At 39.9% G+C, this 22,382-nt stretch overlaps 1 long non-coding RNA gene across 1 annotated transcript; it reads right to left on the minus strand.

The window, feature by feature from the left end:
• Positions 1-8,723: 8,723 nt before the first annotated feature.
• Positions 8,724-15,871, minus strand: LOC105376601 (uncharacterized). Its single transcript, XR_931142.3, has 2 exons — positions 13,889-15,871; positions 8,724-12,450 (listed from the first exon to the last, which is right to left on the minus strand). It is a non-coding gene; the product is annotated as an uncharacterized LOC105376601 (long non-coding RNA).

The following is a 22,382-nucleotide window of genomic DNA, read 5'->3' on the forward strand; positions in this document are numbered from 1 at the left end:
GTATTTAGCTTTTGGCCTTAGTAAGTACCCTGAACCAAGACAGCTGAGCTGCGCTGGAGTCTGGATGGAGAGCAAGGAGGGAGGCACTGGCGAGTCTGGCCAAGTGGGACAGCCCTCTGCCCTCACCATTACTCATATTCGTCATGTTGGGGTCAGGGCCGTGCTACTGAACATAAACTGGGAGGCCTACATTCCCTCCAACTGTGTCCAGTCACGACCAGTTCAGAATACTTCATCTTTACAAACTTTGCTTATTTTAAAAAATGTTTCCTTGATTCCTGCAAGCCAAACCCATGGAAAAATAACGGAAACCAAATGCCAGGGAAATAGAGCCAAAGCAAACACATGTGAGCTCTGAAATAACAGGAGATACTGTGGTCACGTCTGACCTTCTGAACTGTGCTATGGGTTGAAGCAAAAACAGCTCTTGCTGCTCCTTAAGAGGTGCATGGTAATAGTTTATTTGTAATGTGGAAGAGCTTGGGTTTAGAGAGATCACCATTTAAAATAGTAGGGACTTGGCCACAGAGCCAGAAATAATATCATTTTGAGGAAAGACTTTTTCTTATAAATGGCCACCCTTCACCTCCAATGATCAACATTAACCCAAGATCATCTGATTTTTATCTTTTATCTTTTATTAATAAGACCTCCAGAGCTTCTACAAATGTTTCTCTTCTAATTACACCAATATTTTGGTGCAGTCTAATATAGAAGCAGGAATGAAGTTCACTTGTTTATTTCAGCAGCCTGCAAGAGACAAATGGAGAAGGGCCCAGATGAAAATGTGAAATGATGACCCAGGGTCAAAAGGGAAAACAGAGACGACTCCTGGTTTTCACACTAACCAGTTCAGTCCCCAGCAATATGGCAGCGTCAGACCTGCTGGGGGCCTGCCAACAGTTACATTCCTGTGAAAAGCCAGTGGCTGCATTTTGGGGCACACAAAACAAGTCACCAGGAGAAATTTGCTCCATGTTAACATTACCAAGAAAAGACCACAAGCTACAGAGTTTATGCAAATGACGACTGGTTCCCATGGAAGAAATGCTTGTATTAAAATTGGCAAGTTTGCCTAAGAGTAAAATACTTATTTTCATTAACATGAAAACATGTTTTTCAGATAATATTCTCTTCCTTTAGTTACATCATTAGATGGAAAGCTAGAAGGTACATTTTTTCCTCCCTGAAGGAGAAAAGAAATACATTGTAAAAATAGCTTTATTGTAATTATTGTGGGGGAAAATAACCTATACATGAAGTAATAGCAAATACCTAGTAGTCTTTACTGTGTGTTCAGTCACAATGAAGCTTCACTCCTCTCCATGTATGCTATTATTGTCCAGATAATCTGCATGATTGCTATTATTGTCCAGAAGTTTTATTTTTATTTTAATGGAGTCATATTTATCAATCATTTCAGCTGTTCTTTCTCTTGTTTAAGAATTTTTTTAAACCCCCAAAATCAAAATAATTCCTCTACATTTTATTCTACAAGGTTTAAATATTCAATTTTTATATTTAGGTATATAAATTATTTGGAACTTATTTTGGATTAAATAATGAGATAGCAATCTAATTTACTTTTTCCCACTGGAGAATAAATTTTCCCAATCTCACTTATTCCCACTACCTCCATCCTTTCCACATTGGTAATGCCACATTTTTTGTATGTCAAGTTTACATAACTGTATGGGTTATCTTCTGAGCTCTGTTCTTTCTATTCCTGTTATGATATCCACAATCTTAATTACTACAGCTTTGTAATATGTTTATATTTGGTAGGACAATTCCAATACCCTCCCCACTCCATTTTATCTATCTTCTTTTTTGACATTAACCTTTGCCCTTTTATATCAATTTTAGGATCACTCGATTAAGTTCTAGGAAAATCCTATTGAGATTTTTGTCATAATCTGCAAGGCAATTTGGAAGTGGAACTGATATCTTCTTGATACTGAATCATCACATTAATGAACATGATATGCTTCTCCATTTCTTTAGCTTTTCTTAAAAATTTTTGAGAAAAATTTCTAAAAATAAAATTTTACCATAAAGGTCTTGTACATTATTTCACACATATTCTCAAATGCACTAATTTTTATGCTAACGTGATGTGTTTTTACAAGATATTTTTCTAATTGTTTTATAGAAATTCAAATGAAGTTTGTACATTAATAACTTATCCAGAAATCTTGCTAAGGTTTATTAGTTCTAATAATTTATAGATGTCCTTGGGTTTTCTATTGAGATACTCATAATGCCTGTGAATAATAACAGTTTTTTTCTTCTTAAATTATTTTATACTTTCTTTTGCCCATCAACATAAGGAATCTTTGTTTTGTTCCTTATTTTGGAGAGAAAGATTTTAAAATTTCATCATTAAAGATGATTGCTGTCCCACAAAAGAAATAAAATTATGTCTATATTTGCAGCAATATAGATGGAGCTGGAGGTCATAATCCTAAGTGAATTAATGCAAGAACAGAAAACCAAATACTACATGTTCTCATTTATAAGTGGGAGCTAACCATTGAGCACACATGGACATAAACATGGGAACAATAGACCATGTGGACTACCAAAGATAGGTGGGAGGGATCAGGGAATGGGTCAAGACCTTTAGGAGGCCGAGGCAGACGGATCACCAAGTCAAGAGATCGAGACTATCCTGGCCAACATAGTGAAACCCTGTCTGTACTAAAAATGCAAAAATTAGCTGGGCATGGTGGTGCCCGCCTGTAGGCCTAGCTACTCAGGAGGCTAAGGCAGGAGAATCACTTGAACCCAGGAGTTGGAGGTTGCAGTGAGCCAAGATTGAGCCACTGCACTCCAGCCTGGCAACAGAGCGAGACTCCGTCTCAAAAAAAAAAAAAAAGTACCTATTGGGTACTATGCTCATTACCTGGGTACAAGGTACAATATACCCATGTAGCAAACCTGCACATGTACCCCTGTGTCTAAAATAAAAGTTGAAGAAAAGAAAGAATATGTAAAAGTAAAAAAAAAAAAAAGGTCATTCGAGGTTTTTAGTACCTATCTTTCATTTAGAAAGACTCCTTGTATTCCTATTTTGTGAGGGGTTGGCTAAGAGAATTTTCTAATCATGAATAGGTATTGAGTTTTATCAAATGCTATTGAGATAATCATATGGCTTTTCTCGTTTAATCTTTTTAATATAAATCTGTGCATTCCTATGACGAATTTTATTTTATTTTAATACACTTATTAACTTTCTTGTCGTTTGTTTAGTTGTACATATGATATACATTTATAAGTAAGGCTGATTTGCAATCTCCTTTTTTTATACTCTATTTATCTGAGTTGGGGAATATTCCTTTGTTAATTATTCTTCAGTTAAATTGACACCAACATGAGATGATCTGTTCCTTGAATGCTCAGCCAAACTCATCTGGGCCTATGTGGGGGACAAGAGTAAGCTTTTTAACAGCTGATTCCATGTCTTTAATGGTTAAGGCTGTACTCCTGCTTCAATTTCTTCTTAAGGTAGCTTTGATAAATCATATTTTCCTTGGACATTGATCATTTCCGTCTTTTCAAATTTATTGGTATAGTATCTCCTTTTTCATCTGTATGGCATCAGCAGTTATGACCCCTTTTTCATTTCTAATATTGTTTGTAAATGCTGACTTGTTTTTTCAAAAAGTTTGGCCAAATCCTTGTCCATTCGTTTTTTTTCACAGATTCAATTATAGTAGACACTGCTTTAGTTCCATCCAGATTCCCTAGGGCTCTTTTATTCCTCTTCCAGATTCAGGGTGGTTTCCCTTCCCAGGGCCAGTACCTAAAACTTTTTTTTCAGAAGACTGCCCTCAGGCTACTGGAGGCACTTTGGCCACTTACACAGAGACACTGAAGTGTCTAGGAATCCACATCCACTCCAGTTAGCCCTTAGCCAATAACTGACAGCTGTGGGAGTATGGAGGCCCCAGGAGAAAGAACGCTGAGTGTACTTCACACATCAGAAACCCACCGTGGGATCAGATGGGAGCTGTTCTCCCTGGGACCTGGCCTGAAATGGTACCCTTGCCTATTTTTCCCTGGCCAGTTTTCACTGCCCCCTTACCTGCTTCTCTACGGAGCTTTTCCTTCACGGGTGAAATACACACTCATCTTCATCTCAGAGTCTGCTTCCGAAGAAACTAAGACAACAGCAGTTTTTCTTTTTTTCTTATTCTTTTTATTGTGTTCTGTTTTCTTTTTTTTTTTTTTTTTTTTTTTTTTGAGACGGAGTCTCGCTCTGTCGCCCAGGCCGGACTGCGGACTGCAGTGGCGCAATCTCGGCTCACTGCAAGCTCCGCCTCCCGGGTTCACGCCATTCTCCTGCCTCAGCCTCCCCAGTAGCTGGGACTACAGGCGCCCGCCACCGCGCCCGGCTAATTTTTTTTTGTATTTTTAGTAGAGACGGGGTTTCACCTTGTTAGCCAGGATGGTCTCGATCTCCTGACCTCATGATCCACCCGCCTCGGCCTCCCAAAGTGCTGGGATTACAGGCGTGAGCCACCGCGCCCGGCCATTGTGTTCTGTTTTCTAAGACTGTGTCATTAATGCGTCTCGTACCTTTCTTTTTTTTCCCTACTATTTCTGGGATATTTAATTTTCTTAGATTAGATGATTAGCTCCTTAATTCACAGTCTCTTTTTCTTAATATAATTATCTAAGGCTGGAAATTTTACTCTAAGCACTACTCTAAGCACTACAGCCCACAAGTTTTTGTTTTTTTTTGTTTTGTTTGTTTTTTTGAGATGGAGTCTCTCTCCGTCGCCCAGGCTGGAGTGCAGTGATGCAATCTTGGGTCCCTGCAACCTCCACCTCCCAAGTTCAAGCTATTCTCCTGCCTCAGCCTCCCGAGTAGCTGGGACTACAGGCATGTGCCATCACGCCTGGCTAATTTTTTGTATTTTTAGTAGAGACGGAGTTTCACCATGTTGGCCAGGCTGGTCTCTAACTCCTGACCTCAAGTGATCCACCCCCGCCTCGGCCTCCTAAAGTGCTGAGATTACAGGCGTGAGCCACTGTGCCCGGCACCATTCCCCAAGTTTTAATGTGTTTCATTTTCATTATTTTTAAAGTGTAAATGTTTTCTCATTTTCATATTTATTTTCTCTTTGTGATAATCACTAGTACTGGTAACTGACCTGTCCAGCTCTCCTCTTTCTGGCCAGGTCCCCATCCTCTTGAAGTCAGCTATGCCAATGAATATGTTTTGGTCAACAGAATACGAGTGAAAGTGATGTGTGTTCATTCCACCACTGCAACTGGCAATATGCCAGGTGATGGAGTCTCCATTAGCTTGAGTCCCAACATAAGAAAATGTGGAAGGGAGCTCCCAGCTGACTTACACTGGAAATGTACCATGAATGGGAAATAAACCTTCATTGTTTTAAAATATTAAGATATTTTCAGTTTGTGTATTATTGCAGCATAACTTATACAATTCCAAATGCTACTTTGACCAAATAGTCTTTAGAAGTATCTTTCCTTCTCTCTTTTTAATTTTCAAATGTATAGAGTAATTTCAAGTGTCTTTTTTTTTTTTTTTTTTTGGAGATGGAGTTTCGCTCGTTGCCCAGGCTGGAGTGCAATGGTGCGATCTTGGCTCACTGCAACCTCCGCCTCCCAGGTTCAAGCAATTCTCCTGCCTCAGCCTCCCAAATAGCTGGGATTACAGGCATGTGCCACCACGCCCCCCACTAATTTTGTATTTTTAGTAGAGACGGGGTTTCTCCGTGTTGGTCAGGCTGGTCTCAAACTCCCGACCTCAGGTGATCCACCCGCCTCGGCCTCCCAAAGTGCTGGGATTACAGGCATGAGCCACTGCGCCAGGCCAGCTCAAGTGTCTCTTTCAAGTTTATATTTTATTAGAAGGTGGTCAGAGGATATGTCTTATATGTTACTGAGTCTTTGGTATTTGATGAGATTTTCTTTATGGCCTAGCAAGCAATCAGTTTTTGGGTTTTGTATGTGTTGACTAGATTAAGCTAGTTAATTTGATTATTCAGATATTCAATATCCTTATTATTTTATATTTTTTACTCCATCAATTACTAAGAGAGATGTTTTTTATAACTTACTGTCTATAGGTTTTTAAATTTCTCTTAACTTGATTGATTTCTGCTTTAAATATATTTGAGGACACCTTAAGTACGTGCAAGTGGTTAACTGCCTTAGACTAGTAAAACAACCTTTGTTTTAAAATCTATTTGTCAGAGTTGCTTCTGTAAGGTGCTCCAAAGTTGTCACTGCCTGGGACATCACTGGCCTTAGCTACCTTTCATATTTACTTCCCAGCTGGGGAAGTGTGGCATGTGATTTTAGAACTGCACACATGGTTTAAATTCAAGCCCCAAGCCCCTGTGATGTAGGCCTCTCTTCCTTGTCATCTTCTTGTATGGACGGTAGATTGTTTTCTAGCCCCCCTGTAGTAAAGACATAACCCTTCTCCATGAATGGTCTAAGTTTCAACTTTTCACCACAGGCAGGCCCACTGCCTCATCTCCCTTCACCACTTGTAGCCACAGCATCAGCTCAACTCACACCCTTTCTCCTTCAGTTTTTATGCCCTTTTGTTCATTTTTTTTTTCCCTGCCTCTGGAAATTTCACTTATCTTACTAGTACTTTCTAAAAGAAATTTTACAGTAGTAGAAAGTGCACTAGTACTTTCTAAAAGAAATTTTACAGTACAGATTACCTGGTCCCAGCAGACCTAGTTGTCTTAATTATATTTTATTTTTATTTTTTATTTAATTAATTAATTAATTAATTTTTTGAGAGCCTCACTCTGTTGCCCAGGCAGCAGTGCAATGGTGCGATCTTGGCTCACTGCAACCTCCACCTCCTGGGCTCAAGTGATTCTCCTGCCTCAGCCTCCAGAGTAGCTGGGACTACAGGCACACACCATCACACCAGGCACATTTTTGTATTTTTAGTAGAGACAGGGTTTTGCCATCTTGGCCAGGCTGGTCTCGAACTCCTGATCTCAAGTGATCCACCTGCCTCAGCCTTCCAAAGTGCTGAGATTATAGGCATGAGCCACCACACCCAGCTTTAATTATATTTTATAAGTGCATGTCACTAATGCTTTTGCCTTTCTGAGCAAAGAGATCAGGGGGCTGAAAGCAAGATTAGTGACAGGACGGAGAAAACAGCATTGTGTTCCTGTTCTTTGGAAGATATTCTTTTGAGTCCACCAACTCTGACTGAGATCACTATCATACCCTCATAAAAAAAAAAACAAAAAAACAAAAAACCTCTTAGGTTTCTTTTTTTCCCTGTTCCCTTATTTTTCTTTTGGGGCAATAACCAAGGAGAGGAGTTTCAGGGAGCTTAGAAGGAAAATCATAGAAGGAAAATCATAAAAGGAAACATTGATGATAATAACAACATTAATAATAAGAGCTAACATTTACTTATTAACATTTAAATAAGCCAGGCCCTGAGCAAAGTATCTGAAACCTGAAAACCCTGTGAGGAACTGGATCTTTAGAAATGTTAAACAGTTTACTGTGGTTCTCACACCTAGAAATGGTAGAGATCCCAACTTCAGTCATCCAAAGTCAGAACCTGCACTGTCCGACACCCTCCCTCAAACATTCCAGTTTGAATGTTTTAATTCCTATTATTTACTTATTACCTTCCAATGCCCACACCCCACAATATCTATTTAGTCATTTCATCTCTTCCCTTATTACATGGCAGAGGAATATTATGCAAATATAGATTTCTGGAGCATAACTTTTGACTATGCTTGCAAGAGCCAGCTGAGATGACACTTCCTCCGGGCAGCTTTCATGGATGCCTGCAGGCTGGTTACGTGCCCTCCTCAGGGTTCCTAGAAGCACATTTAGATTTAAGTCTTTGCTAGTCTATGAGCTTCCTGAGGGTAGAGGCAGTCTCTCATTCCTCTTTGTACCTCAAGCACACAGCACAGATCTCAACACAGCGGGGACACTTCATAAACATTTGATGAATGAATAAATGGAAATTGTCTTTCATGGAGAAGGGGATCTCAAACACATTTTAAAGAATGGAGATGTTTCCTTATTCATCTTAAAAATATAAATTTATTCTACTTGTATTCTAAAAACATGCAACAATCTCTCTGGAGATTCATATTTTTCTGATTAATGAATAAGTCTATTTCAAAATTGCTGAGGCATCATAGGATAAGTGTGACTGCACATAGGGTCCTGTGACTTTCTCAGCTCAGCACTTTCTGGACCTGCAGAGGTCTGTTGCCTCGTGGCTCCAGTCTAACTACATGTATTCCATCCAGTTATAAGGAATGTTTTGTTTTGTCCTGTGCCCAAGCACTGCTCTCCCTGTTGTGACAGCATGGCCACCAGATGTTGCCTCCTCTGTGGGTGGCCACCCTGGGAAACTCTATGAATTTTTGCAAACTGATGTGTTTATCCTGAAAGCAGCATTTTGGCATCTTTTTATTCCCTCCGTCCCTCCAAAAAACTTTCATGGGGATGCCCTTTAAAAAAATGTGACAAATCTAGGCACAGATACAAATGCTTCGGTCCAAGGCTGACACTGTAGAGCCTTGGTCATTTAAAGGTGATGAACCCATCTTGCCTTCTGAGAAATAGTACAGAGATATCTCAGTCACCCAGCTCCCCTGAAGCCATGCCATGCTTCCTGCACCAAAGAGTTGATGAAGCTGTTCTTCTCCTGAAAAAAGAAAAACCACGTACACTTGGGAACACAGTTCTTTTTAATTGGCCCCAGATGGGATTTTTTAGTATTCCCCCTCCCATTCCATAATAAATTCTTATAATTCAATAACAGATATTTGTTATTCTTGTGCATGTAGAAGCCAGAAAAAGCCTTTCTCAGCATAGAAAACTGGGAGAGATGAAAGCTGAGAGAACAGGGAAGAAGAAGGTGGTAGTTTTTTCACACTTAGATGAAGTAGGAAGGTTACATTGCAAGTGGACAAAGCAGGGCTTGTCTAAGGAATCTCACTAATCCTAGATTTCTGTTCTTCGGGTGATCAGAGAAAAGAAGGCCACATGGGCTTCAGTCAGACAGAACTTGGTTTGAACCCTGTCTCTGCAATGTAGTAGCTATGTGATGATAAGCAAATTACCTAACCTCTCTGTTAGGTTCTAACTGAGGTCCGAGGGGAGTTGGTGGGCAAGTGGCAGGTAGCTGGAAAAACACTCGAGGAAGCATAAACAGTTTTGACATGGCTTTACTCTCTCTCTGGGCATGAGTGAGCCTGGGCGCAAGCTGTATGTACAGCAACAGCAGGGTAGTTATACCTTTTACAGACAATAGTGGCTCTGAGCCAAGCAGGAACTCATGTGGGTGATCACCTAATGCGCCTCATGTGGCGTGGTTCCATAATGTGCAGAGTTGTGCACCTGCACTCCAAACCCGCTGAGTCATGCTATGCCACCTCAGCCTACCCCTGACTAAAGCACAACCATTTCCCTTATGCTCTCTGAACTTCAGTTTGCTGTAAAATGAGAATAATTCTTCCTACATGGCAGGATTGTTGTGAACATTAAATGAGAAATCGATTAAGCCCTGGACACAGTACCTGGAACATAGCAAGTAGCTGTAATTAATAATCCCATGTAATAAGAGCTGTTTTGTTGTTTATAGAGACTAGTATGATGTAATGAGGGAAATGCATGATGTGAACTTGTACTGAGGGACACACAGACCAAAACATTTTCTCATCCATGACCTTATCATGATACCTATCCTTCCTCACTATAAAGCCATTCCATAAGGGCCATCTGGAAACACGTGTTTGACAAGATTAAGAGATTATGACACTGAGGTAGACAGATAAAGCAAGAGCTATCTTACACATTATGAAGGATTTGTTAAGGGGAGAAAAACCCATTAGCAACCAAGTTCCCATTGCATAAAGCCAGTTGCTGAAAGAATAAGACAGTGGAAACAGGTAAGTTTTGAAGAGGAAAGAGGAAATGTATGGTCTAAGGCATAGATGATACTGCAAGGGAGAATCCCTGGAGATCAGATCACCCATGGAGCATAAAACAGGAAGGGTGGAAAGGTTCCGGAAGAGGGATAGGAAAGAAGGACCAAAGTCCAACTTTGCCAGTTTTAAAATTTTGCATTAGGTAAGGACTAAAGAAAAAAATATTTTGTAAATTGACACCATTTTAAAGATTCCTATTGAATGATCTTGTTGAGTGAAAATTCATGAGTAATCACGAATTTTCATCCTGCATTTGATTTAAGGCTTAAGTCAGGATGGGTGTAAGAAGGAAATGCAGGAAATGGTAAACCCCTGTAATCAAGCAAGATAAAGTCCGTATGAGGAGTGACTATTTTACTTCACCCTGGCTCAGGCAATTTCTGGCAGTGCAGCTTTGGACCTTGCCCCAGGTTTATTCCACAGCTCGGAAGTTAAAGGCTACTCTGCTGCATGAGGAATTGCCAAAGGCACAGAGAACCCCACGACCTAGGCCTGAACAAGTCATTATCCAACAATATGCATTAAGTGTCCACACCCCACTCAAGACAAAAGAATTGCCCTCAGTCAATAAAACTGGGCTAGTGGACAAAAGCCACAGGGAGACCACTCTAAATTCAATAATAGAAAAGCTTTCTCATACTTAGAGCCGTTCAAAGGTTAGAATATAAAGTAGTAAGATCCCCATCACCAACTGTATTTCAAGCAGAGGCTGGCTTGTAGAAATTCAAATATTAAAGAGGAAACGGGACTTGATGAGTGTAAAGTTCACTTCCAATCTTCCAGTCCTATAAAGATAGAGGCATGACCTCCAACTACAATGAACTTACAGTTTCACCAAGATAAGACAAATTGTAAAAATAACAGCAGCTCCAAAGCAACATAAAATGAGCCAAATTAATGGTCTAAAAACTCACTATAACAATTCCAAAATGCAGCTCTCCAGAGAATATTCAAGAAAAACCTGAAATTTCTCATCCCTTTGCATAAGCAATAATTGGATTACTTCCTGGTAGTAAGAGAAAGAAGAAGAAAACAGATGATTTAGAGCCAGAGGAATTGGTAGACTGAGTCTCATGCTGTCCTACTGTGTTCCTGCATAAATGTGGTATAGAACGTGATGCCCACCAATGAAAAATAACCTCAAATAGGCTGAGCATGGTGGCTCATGCCTGTAATCCCAGCACTTTGGGAGGCTGAGGCAGGCGGCTTACTTAAGGTCAGGAGTTTGAGACCAGCATGGCCAACATGGTAAAAACCTGTCTCTACTAAAAATACAAAAATTAGCCGGGTGTGGTGGCATACACCTGTAGTCCCAGCTACTCGGGAGGCTGAGGCATGAGAATCGCTTGAACCCAGGAGGTGGAGGCTGTAGTGAGCGAGCTAGCCTGGGCAACAGACTAAGATGAAAAGAAAGAAAAAAAGAAAAGAAAAGAGAAAAGAAAAGAGGGGAGGGGAGGAGGTGGGGGAGGCAGAGAGGGAAGGGAGGGGAGGCGGAGGGAGAGGGGAGAGGAGGCAGAGGGGGAGGGGAGGGGAGGCGGAGGGGGAGGGGAGGGGAGAGGATGCTCAAATAAACAGTTGCTTTGCAATCTCATGAGAAAAACCAGATCTGCTTGAAGTGTTAATTCAGAAGACAGAATGTGTGACCTCATGATTTTTCATATGCTTTGCAATCATTACTTATTCATTCTTCATTTCTGACAGATAGGGGGATAGCTTATAAAATGTATTCCTCATCCTACTAACATCGTGCATCAGCTTGAAACAGGAAACACAAGACATACAAATTATTTAAGGCCTTGCTACTCAGTGTGGTCCAAAGACCAGCCATACTGGATCACCTGGGAATGCCTTGGCAATGCTGAATCAGCTCTTCTACCCACTGACTTCACTCCCAGACCTATGGAATCAGAATTTGCATTTTAATGAGAACTCCAGTGATTTCCATGTACACTAAAATTTGAGAAGTCCTAAACTGGGCAACAATGATTCTGTTGTCCACCTCCTGACCTTCCCCACCTGATATGGATTGGATGCTTGTCCCCTCCAAATCACATGTTGAAATGTGGCCTCCGGTGTTGGAGGTGGGCCTAGTGGGAGGTGTTTGAGTCATGGGGGTGGATGCCTCATGAATGACTTGCCGCTGCTGTCCTCACAGTAATGAGTGAGTTTTCTCTGAGTTCACAAGAGAACTGGTTGTTTAAAACAACCTAGCACCTCCTCCCCCCTCTCTCTTGCTTCCTCTCACGCTTCCATGTGACATGCTGGCTCTCCATCTCCTTCTTCCATGATTATAAGCTTCTTGAGGCCCTCACCAGAGCAAATGCTGGCATTATGCTTCATGTATAGCCAGCAGAACAATGAGCCAAATAAATCTCTTTTCTTTGTAAGTTACCCAGTCTTGGGTATTCCTTTATAGCAGCATAAAGGGACTTATACACCACTTGAAAGCTTTAAGAAGAAACAGCCTCTGAAAAACAAAAAAAGGAGAAAATTACTTGGACTATAATCATGAATGGAATCATTGATCAATCCATTTGCCTTGTTCTAGAAAATTTCCTATTGCTAACATGGTGCAGGCATGCTTTAACTGGGCTAGCAGAGCCTCTGGCTTGTTCTGACCCAAGTCAGCTGATTAGTCTCAGGTAGTTATTACACTTCAGGGGAAAGGAGAGGAAAGCCTTAAACAAGCGCCTTGACAAAGAAAGGCAGCTGTTTCTCATAAACTGCAATGAACAAGCCTAGCTAGGCTTCATTCATCCTTTATAACCTTCAGTCTCCTGCCTTTGTCAACAGAGAGAAATCCCTTCCTGCTGGGATGACTTTGGAGACACTAATAGCTGCAACGCAAGCTCGAGCTTGAATGGTAGTAAAGAAGAGCTTATTGCACCTCCACGTATGATAAATACACAAAACAAATATAAAGTATTTCCAAAAATACTTGCTGAATTCAAAAAGGCCATTCACTGTAGGAAATACCATAGATTTAATAATAGCTCTTCAGGAGGGGTAGTCAATGCTTCTTTAAATGAGACACAGACATGTCCCTGTTTTTAAAAAAAGTTAAATTAAGGAGGGGAGGGTTTGTGGGAGTATATCTTAGAATCAAGGAAACTTGGCAGATCAGTGCTTGACCATTTCATTGGCCAGTTTTGCTAACAAACATTAGCAATTAAGTTTTTACATTGCTTCCTGCAAATGTATGTGAAAAAATGAAGTTCACTGTTTTTTGAAGGCATTTGTTATACTGCAGAATGAAAACACAATCTGAAGGGCCATAAAGAGAAATATCAAGACTCCACCTTCTCCAGATACATTTGGGTTGAAAATTAGATAAATCTAGGGGCTTTGTGCTCCTGCAAAACACTGCCTTTCACGATCTGGGGCCTGAGTCTAATCACCTAATGTCCCATACTTGATAAGGAATGCCCATCAGACCATGAGTGTATACATGTGGAGTACATGGGATAGTATTGGTCAGAATCAGAGAGAAAAACTGAGGCCCCAAAGGGGGACAAATATTGTCTCCAAAATACACAACGAGTCAGTGAAATTCTGATTCCCTGAAGTACAAGTTCAGTATCTTTTTTAAAAAAAAGATGGAGTCTCACCCTGTCACCTAGGCTGGAGTGCCGTGATGCGATCTCAGCTCACTGTAACCTCCACCTCCCAGGTTCAAGCAATTCTCCCACCTCAGCCTCCCAAGTAGCTGGGAATACATGTGCACACCACCATGACCAGCTAATTTTTGGTATTTTTAGTAGAGACAAGGTTTCACCATGTTGGCCAGGCTGGTCTCAAACTCCTGACCTAAAGTAATCCATCTACCTCAGACTCCCAAATTGTTGGGATTACAGGTGTGAGCCACCACACCCAGCCTAAGTCCAGTATGTTTCATTCTCTCATACCTCCTCCTTCAGACCATCCTGGGGTCCTCTGATGTAACAGTCAAGCTCTTTTCAAATGAGTAAGATTCCTCCCACTCTAGCACTAGCAGGAGGAAAACACACCAGTTAAGAACTTCAGAAGGTCCCAATAGGACATCGAAAGCCAAAGTTAGACAATGTACTTCCCCTGTCCTGCCTGGATACAAAAATCCTCTAACAGCATTACCATGTGCCATGGAATTTACAATGGATTGTTTTTGCTAATGGAAAAGTACTTTCTTCCTATGGCCTTCTGGAAAATTGTGTTTTCTACTTTCTTTTTCTTGCTGTTAAATTAATTCTACATAAATATTAGGATTTTCAACAAGCTAAATTTATCATAGAGAAAGTTAAAAGGAAGAATCCTGTGGGTTAATGGGTGGGAAAATCTATGTCACAAGGAACTGTGGTCATATTTGCTTTTATAGACCTTTCTCTGAATTTTCTAAAAAATCGAAGTGGATATTTATAAAGCGCAAGTTTTTTAAAGAATTACTTCTCATAGAGGCCTCAAGCTTTCAAGAATAAGTATCACTAGCTTATTCTTCCCCTGAATGCTAAGGCTCCCTCTAGTGACCAAGAACATACACCAACTACAGGTATGAGAGTAAACATCTCTTGCTTTTAGATAACGCCTTGAAGTTTCAATAGCATTTTCACACACATCTGATCATTTAAAATAAGGCCACATGAAGTATGGTTTCCTCCATTTAAAAGGTAGGCAAACTGAGGCTGAAATGGGACCGACACTTATGCAAGGTCACATGGCTGGTAACTAGGAAACCAGAGCTAGAGATCAGGTCTGCTGACTCCTAGGCCCTATTGCTCTGTTGCACTGCCTCATATTCTATGGCAATTACATAAAGTCATGGTCATAGTCCGTTTTATGTGGCTTATAACAGAATAACTGAAACTGGGTAATTTATAAAGAAAAATAACTTATTTCTTACAGTTATGAAGGCTAAGAACTCCAAGGTTGAGGGGCCATATCTGGTGAGAGCCTTCTTGCTGGTGGGGACTCTCTGCAGAGTCCCAGGGTGGCACAGGGCATCACATGACAGGGAGGGCTGAGAAGGCTAGCTCCAGTCTCTATTCCTCTTCTTATAAAGCCACCAGTCCCACTCCCGTGATAACCCATTAACCCACTAATTCATTAATCTACGAATGGATTAATCCATTCACAAGGGCAGAGTTTTCATGATCCAATCACCTTTTAATGACCCTACTTCTCAATATTGCCACATCAGGGATCAAAGTTCAACATGAGTTTTGGAGGGGATAAATATTCACACCATAGTGATTATCCATGAATACTGTCATAAATGCTACTATCCTTTCTACCTTCATGAAATCACTTTCAGGGAATTTATGGAAGTGATTCTTGATTTTCAAGGGATCCCATTAGAAATCAGATGAGAGTTATGAACCCATACTTACAAATGTTTCCATACAATATCAGGAAATTTGTGGACCACATTGAAGGGCGTCCACTGATCCTCCATGACTCCAAGGACCCCAAGTTAAGAACCCATCAATAACTACTGGTTACAATCTTGAGATGTCAAGAACCCAAGGAAGTTTAACTTTGTAGCTCTTACTCTTTCCCTTAATTATGGTGTTTTCCATGCTTATCCAGTTATCTTTTCAGCCCATTATTCAGAGTATTTTCAAAGAATGAATAAATCAGTGTATATTCACTAACATTTAAGAAAAAGTCTGTGGATATTGCAATCAAGGAAGGCATTCTAGCATTCCCACAGGCATGTCTAGGATTAGTAGCAAATTGAGACGTTTCTAGGAAAGTAGCAATTTGGAAGCATTTTTTTCAAATGTAGGAGCACACCACAGTCTCACTGGCTAGCTCTGTGAAGAGCCTAAACAAGCAACACAGTGAATATAGGAAGAGCTTTTTTCAGTCAACAAAACCCAGCACTGACTAAATTCTTAGCTCTTTTCATCCTGGCATTTCTTTTTTTTTTAATTGTTTAATTTTATATATATATATTTTTATTATACTTTAAGTTCTAGGGTACATGTGCACAACGTGCAGGTTTGTTGCATATGTATACATGTGTCATGTTGGTGTGCTGCACCCATTAACTCGTCATTTACATTAGGTACATCCTGGCATTTCTAATGGCTTTGGAAAAGCGTGAATGAACAGTGACTAATTCACTAATTAACATGAGTCTCTTCCAGGTAAGCTCCACGAGGGTAGGGAGCATGTTTATATTGTTCATTCAAATTCTGGACACCAAACACCACCCTCGACACTAGTGCACACTCAACAAATATTTAATGAATGAATATGTGAATGGTCCTCATTGAGTCAGCCCCTCTGGGAACCCACTCATTTCCCCCTAATCAATGGCCTCTGGTTATCTGGGCTTGTTATCTATCTGTATCTATCTGTATGTAGGGTTATCTAGAACTCTACATATAGACAACCTCAGGCTCTGGATACTGGGCCACTCTTATGAAAAGTTCTGTTCTTTACCCCGTGATCCTCTCCTGCAGTCTAGATTGGGTGACAAACCAACCTAAGCAATAACAACAGCTTCCTACCTTAAACCTCCCAGAAATGGTGTCACAGTTTAAAAGGGATATTTTAAAATGTGAGTAAAAATGCAAGATTCTAATGACTAGAAGAACATTTCAATATCAAGGCAGACCCCTAAGTGTTCCTCTGAATTAGGAAGGTTTTTTTTGGATCTTCTTATGTACTGCCTACTCATCATGCCTTTGCATGTGTCTGAGCTTCTATCATACAACTTTCCTGAGTTTTTCATAGACTCTGCCCACCTACTACAATGTCACCTCAAAAATGTCTTTTCCAGCTCCCCTGGTTGGCAACTCCTGCTTGTTTCCATAGCAGAGTTCATACCTTTATGACTGTGCTATGATACTATCATGATTATATATATTTTTCCCCATATGGCAGTAAATCCAACAACAGGAGCGGGAGGTGCTGAGTTCAAGAACGAACTATACCTCTCATTCTCCAGTTTATTTTGCTTATCTTGATTGCAAATTCAATTTTTTATTTTGATTCTGACACATCCAATTTTGTTTAGCAGTTACTGGCAACACTGTCATGAAGGCACAGAGGCTTCTAAATTAAAAATTAAGGGCTAAACCACTACAAAGCTGGGATTTTAGGTGCAGTTGGGTCCTAACCACCGCTCACTAGACTTTTCACCCATAGTGCTCCTCTTTTCACAATCATTGATTATCTTATTTAAATCAAAATTTCCCAAATTTTAGGTGTTTGAGTTCTACCTTCAAGATTTTTGCCATATTAAAGTAGCACCTGAGCTAATATTTACTGAAAAGCTTTCTTTAACTCAACTTTTAACATCACTTTTGCTTTGTAAGTACTGTAATATCCATGAAATATGAGATTTGACATGCCATTTTTCATGAATACACATTAAACAAAAAACTATTAAAATGAAAAAATGCGGGGCCGGGCGCGGTGGCTCACGCCTGTAATCCCAGCACTTTGGGAGGCCGAGGCGGGCGGATCACGAGGTCAGGAGATCGAGACCATGGTGAAACCCCGTCTCTACTAAAAATACAAAAAATTAGCCGGGCGTGATGGCGGACGCCTGTAGTCCCAGCTACTTGGGAGGCTGAGGCAGGAGAATGGTGTGAACCCAGGAGGCGGAGCTTGCAGTGAGCCGAGATTGCGCCACTGCACTCCAGCCTGGGCGACAGAGCGAGACTCCATCTCAAAAAAAAAAAAAAAAAAAAAAAAAAAAAGCATTAAAATAATCTCATAACTGTTAAAAGTTTAAAAACACCTATGTAGCCATGAAAATCACCTCCAAGTATTATCCATGGCATTACCTGATCCACTTTGTGAAATACTCTTTTTTTTTTGGGACGGAGTCTTGCTCTGTCGCCCAGGCTGGAGTGCAGTGGCCTGATCTCCGCTCACTGCAAGCTCTGTCTCCCGGGTTCACGCTATCCTCCTGCCTCAGCCTCCCCAGTAGCTGGGACTACAGGCGCCCGCCACCACAACCGGCTAATTTTTTTTTGTATTTTTAGTAGCGACGGGGTTTCACCGTGTTAGCCAGGATGGTCTCGATCTCCTGACCTCGTGATCCCCCCGCCTTGGCCTCCCAAAGTGCTGGAATTACAGGCGTGGTGAAATACTCTTTAAAGCCCCCACTACCCACCTCGTGCCTCCTATCCAAACCTATCCCTTCATTCTCAGCAGACCACGCCACCTTCTTGAAAAAGGCAGTCCGTCAGACTTGAATTCCCCCAACTTGCTTCTCGCCATAGTTTCCTACTCCATACAGAGACCTGAAAGCATTACTTCATCTGGTTCCCATCCTTGGATCTACTTGCTCTGCTCTCAGAAGAGAAGTTGCCCTTCTTTCTGTTCAAGAAATGTCCACTTGCTTGTGTTCTGAAGCTTATCCCAGTGGACTGCCTTAAGGATCTTACTCCATCAAATAACTTCTCTCTTGCTTGTCGTTATCTTAATTATTTTGAATTGTGAAATGTTATGCATAGAAAAGAATATAAACATATTTGTTTAAATTAAATAATAATGAAAATACAGGCCGGGGGCAGTGGCTCACACCTGTAATCCCAGCACTTTGGGAGGCCGAGGCAGGCAGATAACGAGGTCAGGAGATCGAGACCATCCTGGCTAACACGGTGAAACCCCGTCTCTACTAAAAAATACAAAAAATTAGCCGGGCGTCATGGCGGGCTCCTGCAGTTCCAGCTACTCGGGAGGCTGAGGCAGGAGAATGGCGTGAACCCGGGAGGCGGAGCTTGCAGTGAGCGGAGATCGCACCACTGCAATCCAGCCTGGGCGACAGAGCAAGACTCCGTCTCAAAAAAATAAATTAAATTAAATAAAAAAGAAAATACAAGCACCCGTATAACCATCACTCAGGTTAATAGAGCGCTACTGATACCTTCAAACACACTTTGTGCACCTCCTTGTTGTATCTCTCTCCCTCTCACCCAAGTGTAAACTAGCCATTCTTTATAGTTTTACTACCTGTGTATGTAGACTTAAGCAGTGTATCATTTAGTTTTGCTTAGTTTTAAATTTTATGTAAATTGAATCATACTGATTATACTCTGACTCATTTCTTTTTCTCAATATTATGCTCCAGAGGTTTATCCATGTGGGTGTGTATAGTGTTAGTTTCTTTATTTTCACTTCTGTGGAGTATTTCATTTCATGACTGATCCACAAGGTTCTTTCATCTGTAGAATATTCCATTACATGACTAATCCACAATGTATTTATCATGTTACTGTTGTTGGGTATTTGAGCTGTTTTGAGCTCTTAGTTATTATAAGAAATACTATTATTTATGACACTCCTGTACTGTGTCCTGATGCATATGAAGATTTCTCTAGGGAGGTGACTTTCAAAATTTCTCGATCACAACTCACAATAAGAAACACATTTTACAACACAACCAAAAAAGATGAACAGAACAATACAAAACATGACTATTAGCGACCCAAAAGATTAACAAAACTGCAGTAATGCATTCTGATATTTTCTGTTTCTTTGTTGTTCTGTTTAACTTTACCATATCCTGTTCTAATTCACTTTTTTAAATGCTGGTTCACCCACTAGTGTGACCTGACCCCAATTAAGAAAAATTAGAAAGTGCCATAGGACATACCTAGGAGTGACATTGCGGAGTTTTGAAGCACATGTATATTTTAACTTTTCAATAAATCATGTTCCAATGGCACACTCTCAATTTATACTACCACCAACAGAAAATGTAAGTTACATTGTTCTATGGCCTTGGTAACTTTTTAATTTATAATTTTTTTCCATTTGTTGTTATTACATGGTATTTCATTGTGGTTTTAATTTACATTTTCACAGTTAGATAGAGCATATTTTCCTATGTTATAGGTCATCTGTGTTTCCTCTTTCATGAAATGCCTGTTTATATTTTGGCCATTTTCCTATTAGGATATCCACATCTGATATATTCATAGAAGTCGTAAATATTTTCTGGGTACTGATTGTTTTTTGGAAATAAATTGAAATATCATCTCCCACTTCATGGCTTGTCTTTTAATTTTATTGTGTTTCTTAATTAACTGCAGTTATGTAACATGGTCAAATTTATCAATCTTTTCCTCTATGATTTGCATTTTTGTCCTTGTTTAATGTCGTAAGGCCTCTTTCTGTATCAAAAGATTATATTCTACTACCTAGTCTTCTAAAAGCGCTAAGCTTATGCTTTCACATTTAAATCTCTTATCCACCAAAAATTGATTTATATGTATGGTGCAAGGTTGAGATATTTATTTTATTAATATACATGGACCACCCCAGCACTTTTTATTTAATGGTTCATCTTTTCTTCAGTGATCTGCAGTGACTTCATCATGAATCAAGACTGCATGTGTGAGTGGGTTTGTTTCTAGATCTTCTCTATTCTGATCCATGAATCCCTTTTTCTACCTCTGGGGCAATACAATGTCTTCATCATTACAGCTGTCTAATGAGACTTAAATCTTGGTAAAGCAATCCCCCCTACACCTTGTTCTTCTTCACAAGTTTCTAGTCTGTTGTTGACTTTTTTTCCTTCCATATACATTTTAAAATCACTGTTTCAATTTGCTCACAAACCCATTTGGAGTTTTATTGGAATCACTTTGACTCTATTGGTGAATCTAGTGATGCTTGGCATCTTACAACACTGAGTTTTTCTACTCAAGATTATGGTATATATATTATTTAGATTATCTGGTTCAATTAATAATTAAATAATTTTCAATATGTTCATTAATATTTAATAATTTTCTTCATAAAGAGGTCTATACTCCTTAGAACTTTGTATTTTGCATTGCTATTATAAAAAGGCAACTAACTAATTGCTACTGGTAAATAGAAATGCATCTAATTTTTCTATGTTGAGACTATATCCAGCTTTGCCTACTTCTCTCATTAGATAAAATGTTTTATCTGTAGGCTCTTTAGAATTATTGGCATTAATGATGATCTTTTGTTCTTATTTTCTAGTCTTTATCATTTCATTTCGTTTTCTTACCTTATTGTACTGGCCAGGATACACAGTGCATTCAGATCCTAGCTGACCTCCCTCTTTTCCCTTGATCCTAAAGGGAATACTTTCAACATTTCATCATAAAACGTATTTGCTGTAGGTTTTGTAGTTCCCCTTATAAGTTAAGGAGGTTCCTTTCTATATAAAGAATTTTTATTATTTTATCTGTCATCTTCATGATCCTTACTTGTGGCTCCTTCTTTTCTTGCGATTTTTCTTAAAATTTTAATAGCATCATTAAAATGGCACTATTGAGATATAATTGGCATACAATGAACTGTACATATTTAAGGTGTTCAGTCTGATAAATTTTGACATATGTATACATCTGTGAACCATCACCACAATCAAAATAATGGATAGAACCCAAGTTTTCTCCTGTCCCTGTGTGAATCCTCCCTCAACAACTTCCCTGCCCCTACCCACACTTCTGTTTCTAAGAAACCAGTTTGTCATCAGAATAGATTAACTTGTAGTTAATGAACTATGATAAATAAAATCATACAGTATGTATTCTTTTTAGTCTGCTTCTTTTACTCAGTATAATTATTCTGAGGTCTATTCATATTGCGTGTTTATAGCACATTCTTTTTCACTGCTAAGTAGTATTCCACCACATGAGTAGGAGATTTTTGACTCTGGCTAGTGGAAGCAGGAACAATTACTAGTCTTCTGTGGGCATTTGAGATTGTATCTTGTAATCCTTTCAGGTGGTTCTTTCCTAGCCTTAGGTAACTTCTTAGCCTGCATGCACTTAGTAGTACTGAGCTGAAAACATGAGGGAGACTCTGCAAATCTTCAGAGTCCTCTTTCTGTGCCGTTCTTCCCACGCCAGTAATGGTGCCCTGCAATGTCTAGTCATCTTGATCTTCCTAGACTTCCAGCTCTATCTCCTCAACTCAGGCCTACCACTGCTCTCAGCCTGGGGTCCCCCTACCTGCACACAGGCAGGAAATTCTCTCCAGGCAGTAAACTGAAACAATGTTAGGGATCACGTGGCTTGTTGCCCATCTCTCAGAGGTCACTGTCTATTGTGGCCTAATGTCCAAAGTCTGAAAAACTGTTATTTCATGTACTTTCTTCTATTTTTTTGGGTGGGAGGATAAACCTGGTTCCTCTTACTCTATCACGGCTGGAGGTGAAAGTCCTGACTCGTATCCTTATGTACTTTGTGACATCTAACTAGGAGTTGCAGATGTTCCTTGGAACTTACCTTTTAGGGTAATTCTTCGAGGCTCAATTTAGAGCTGATTTCCTTCAGAAGAGATTTGTGTTTGCTTCTGTCGATGACTTGGAAACATTATCAGTTAAGGACCACTTTAAAGTTAAATTCTTCACTTGAATTGTGTGAATGAATGTGTGGTTACCAATTCTCAGGCAGAATTACCCCCACCCCCGACTCAGCA

Source organism: Homo sapiens, chromosome 11 (assembly GCF_000001405.40).
Source record: "Homo sapiens chromosome 11, GRCh38.p14 Primary Assembly".
In the NCBI taxonomy this organism is placed as follows: domain Eukaryota; kingdom Metazoa; phylum Chordata; class Mammalia; order Primates; family Hominidae; genus Homo; species Homo sapiens.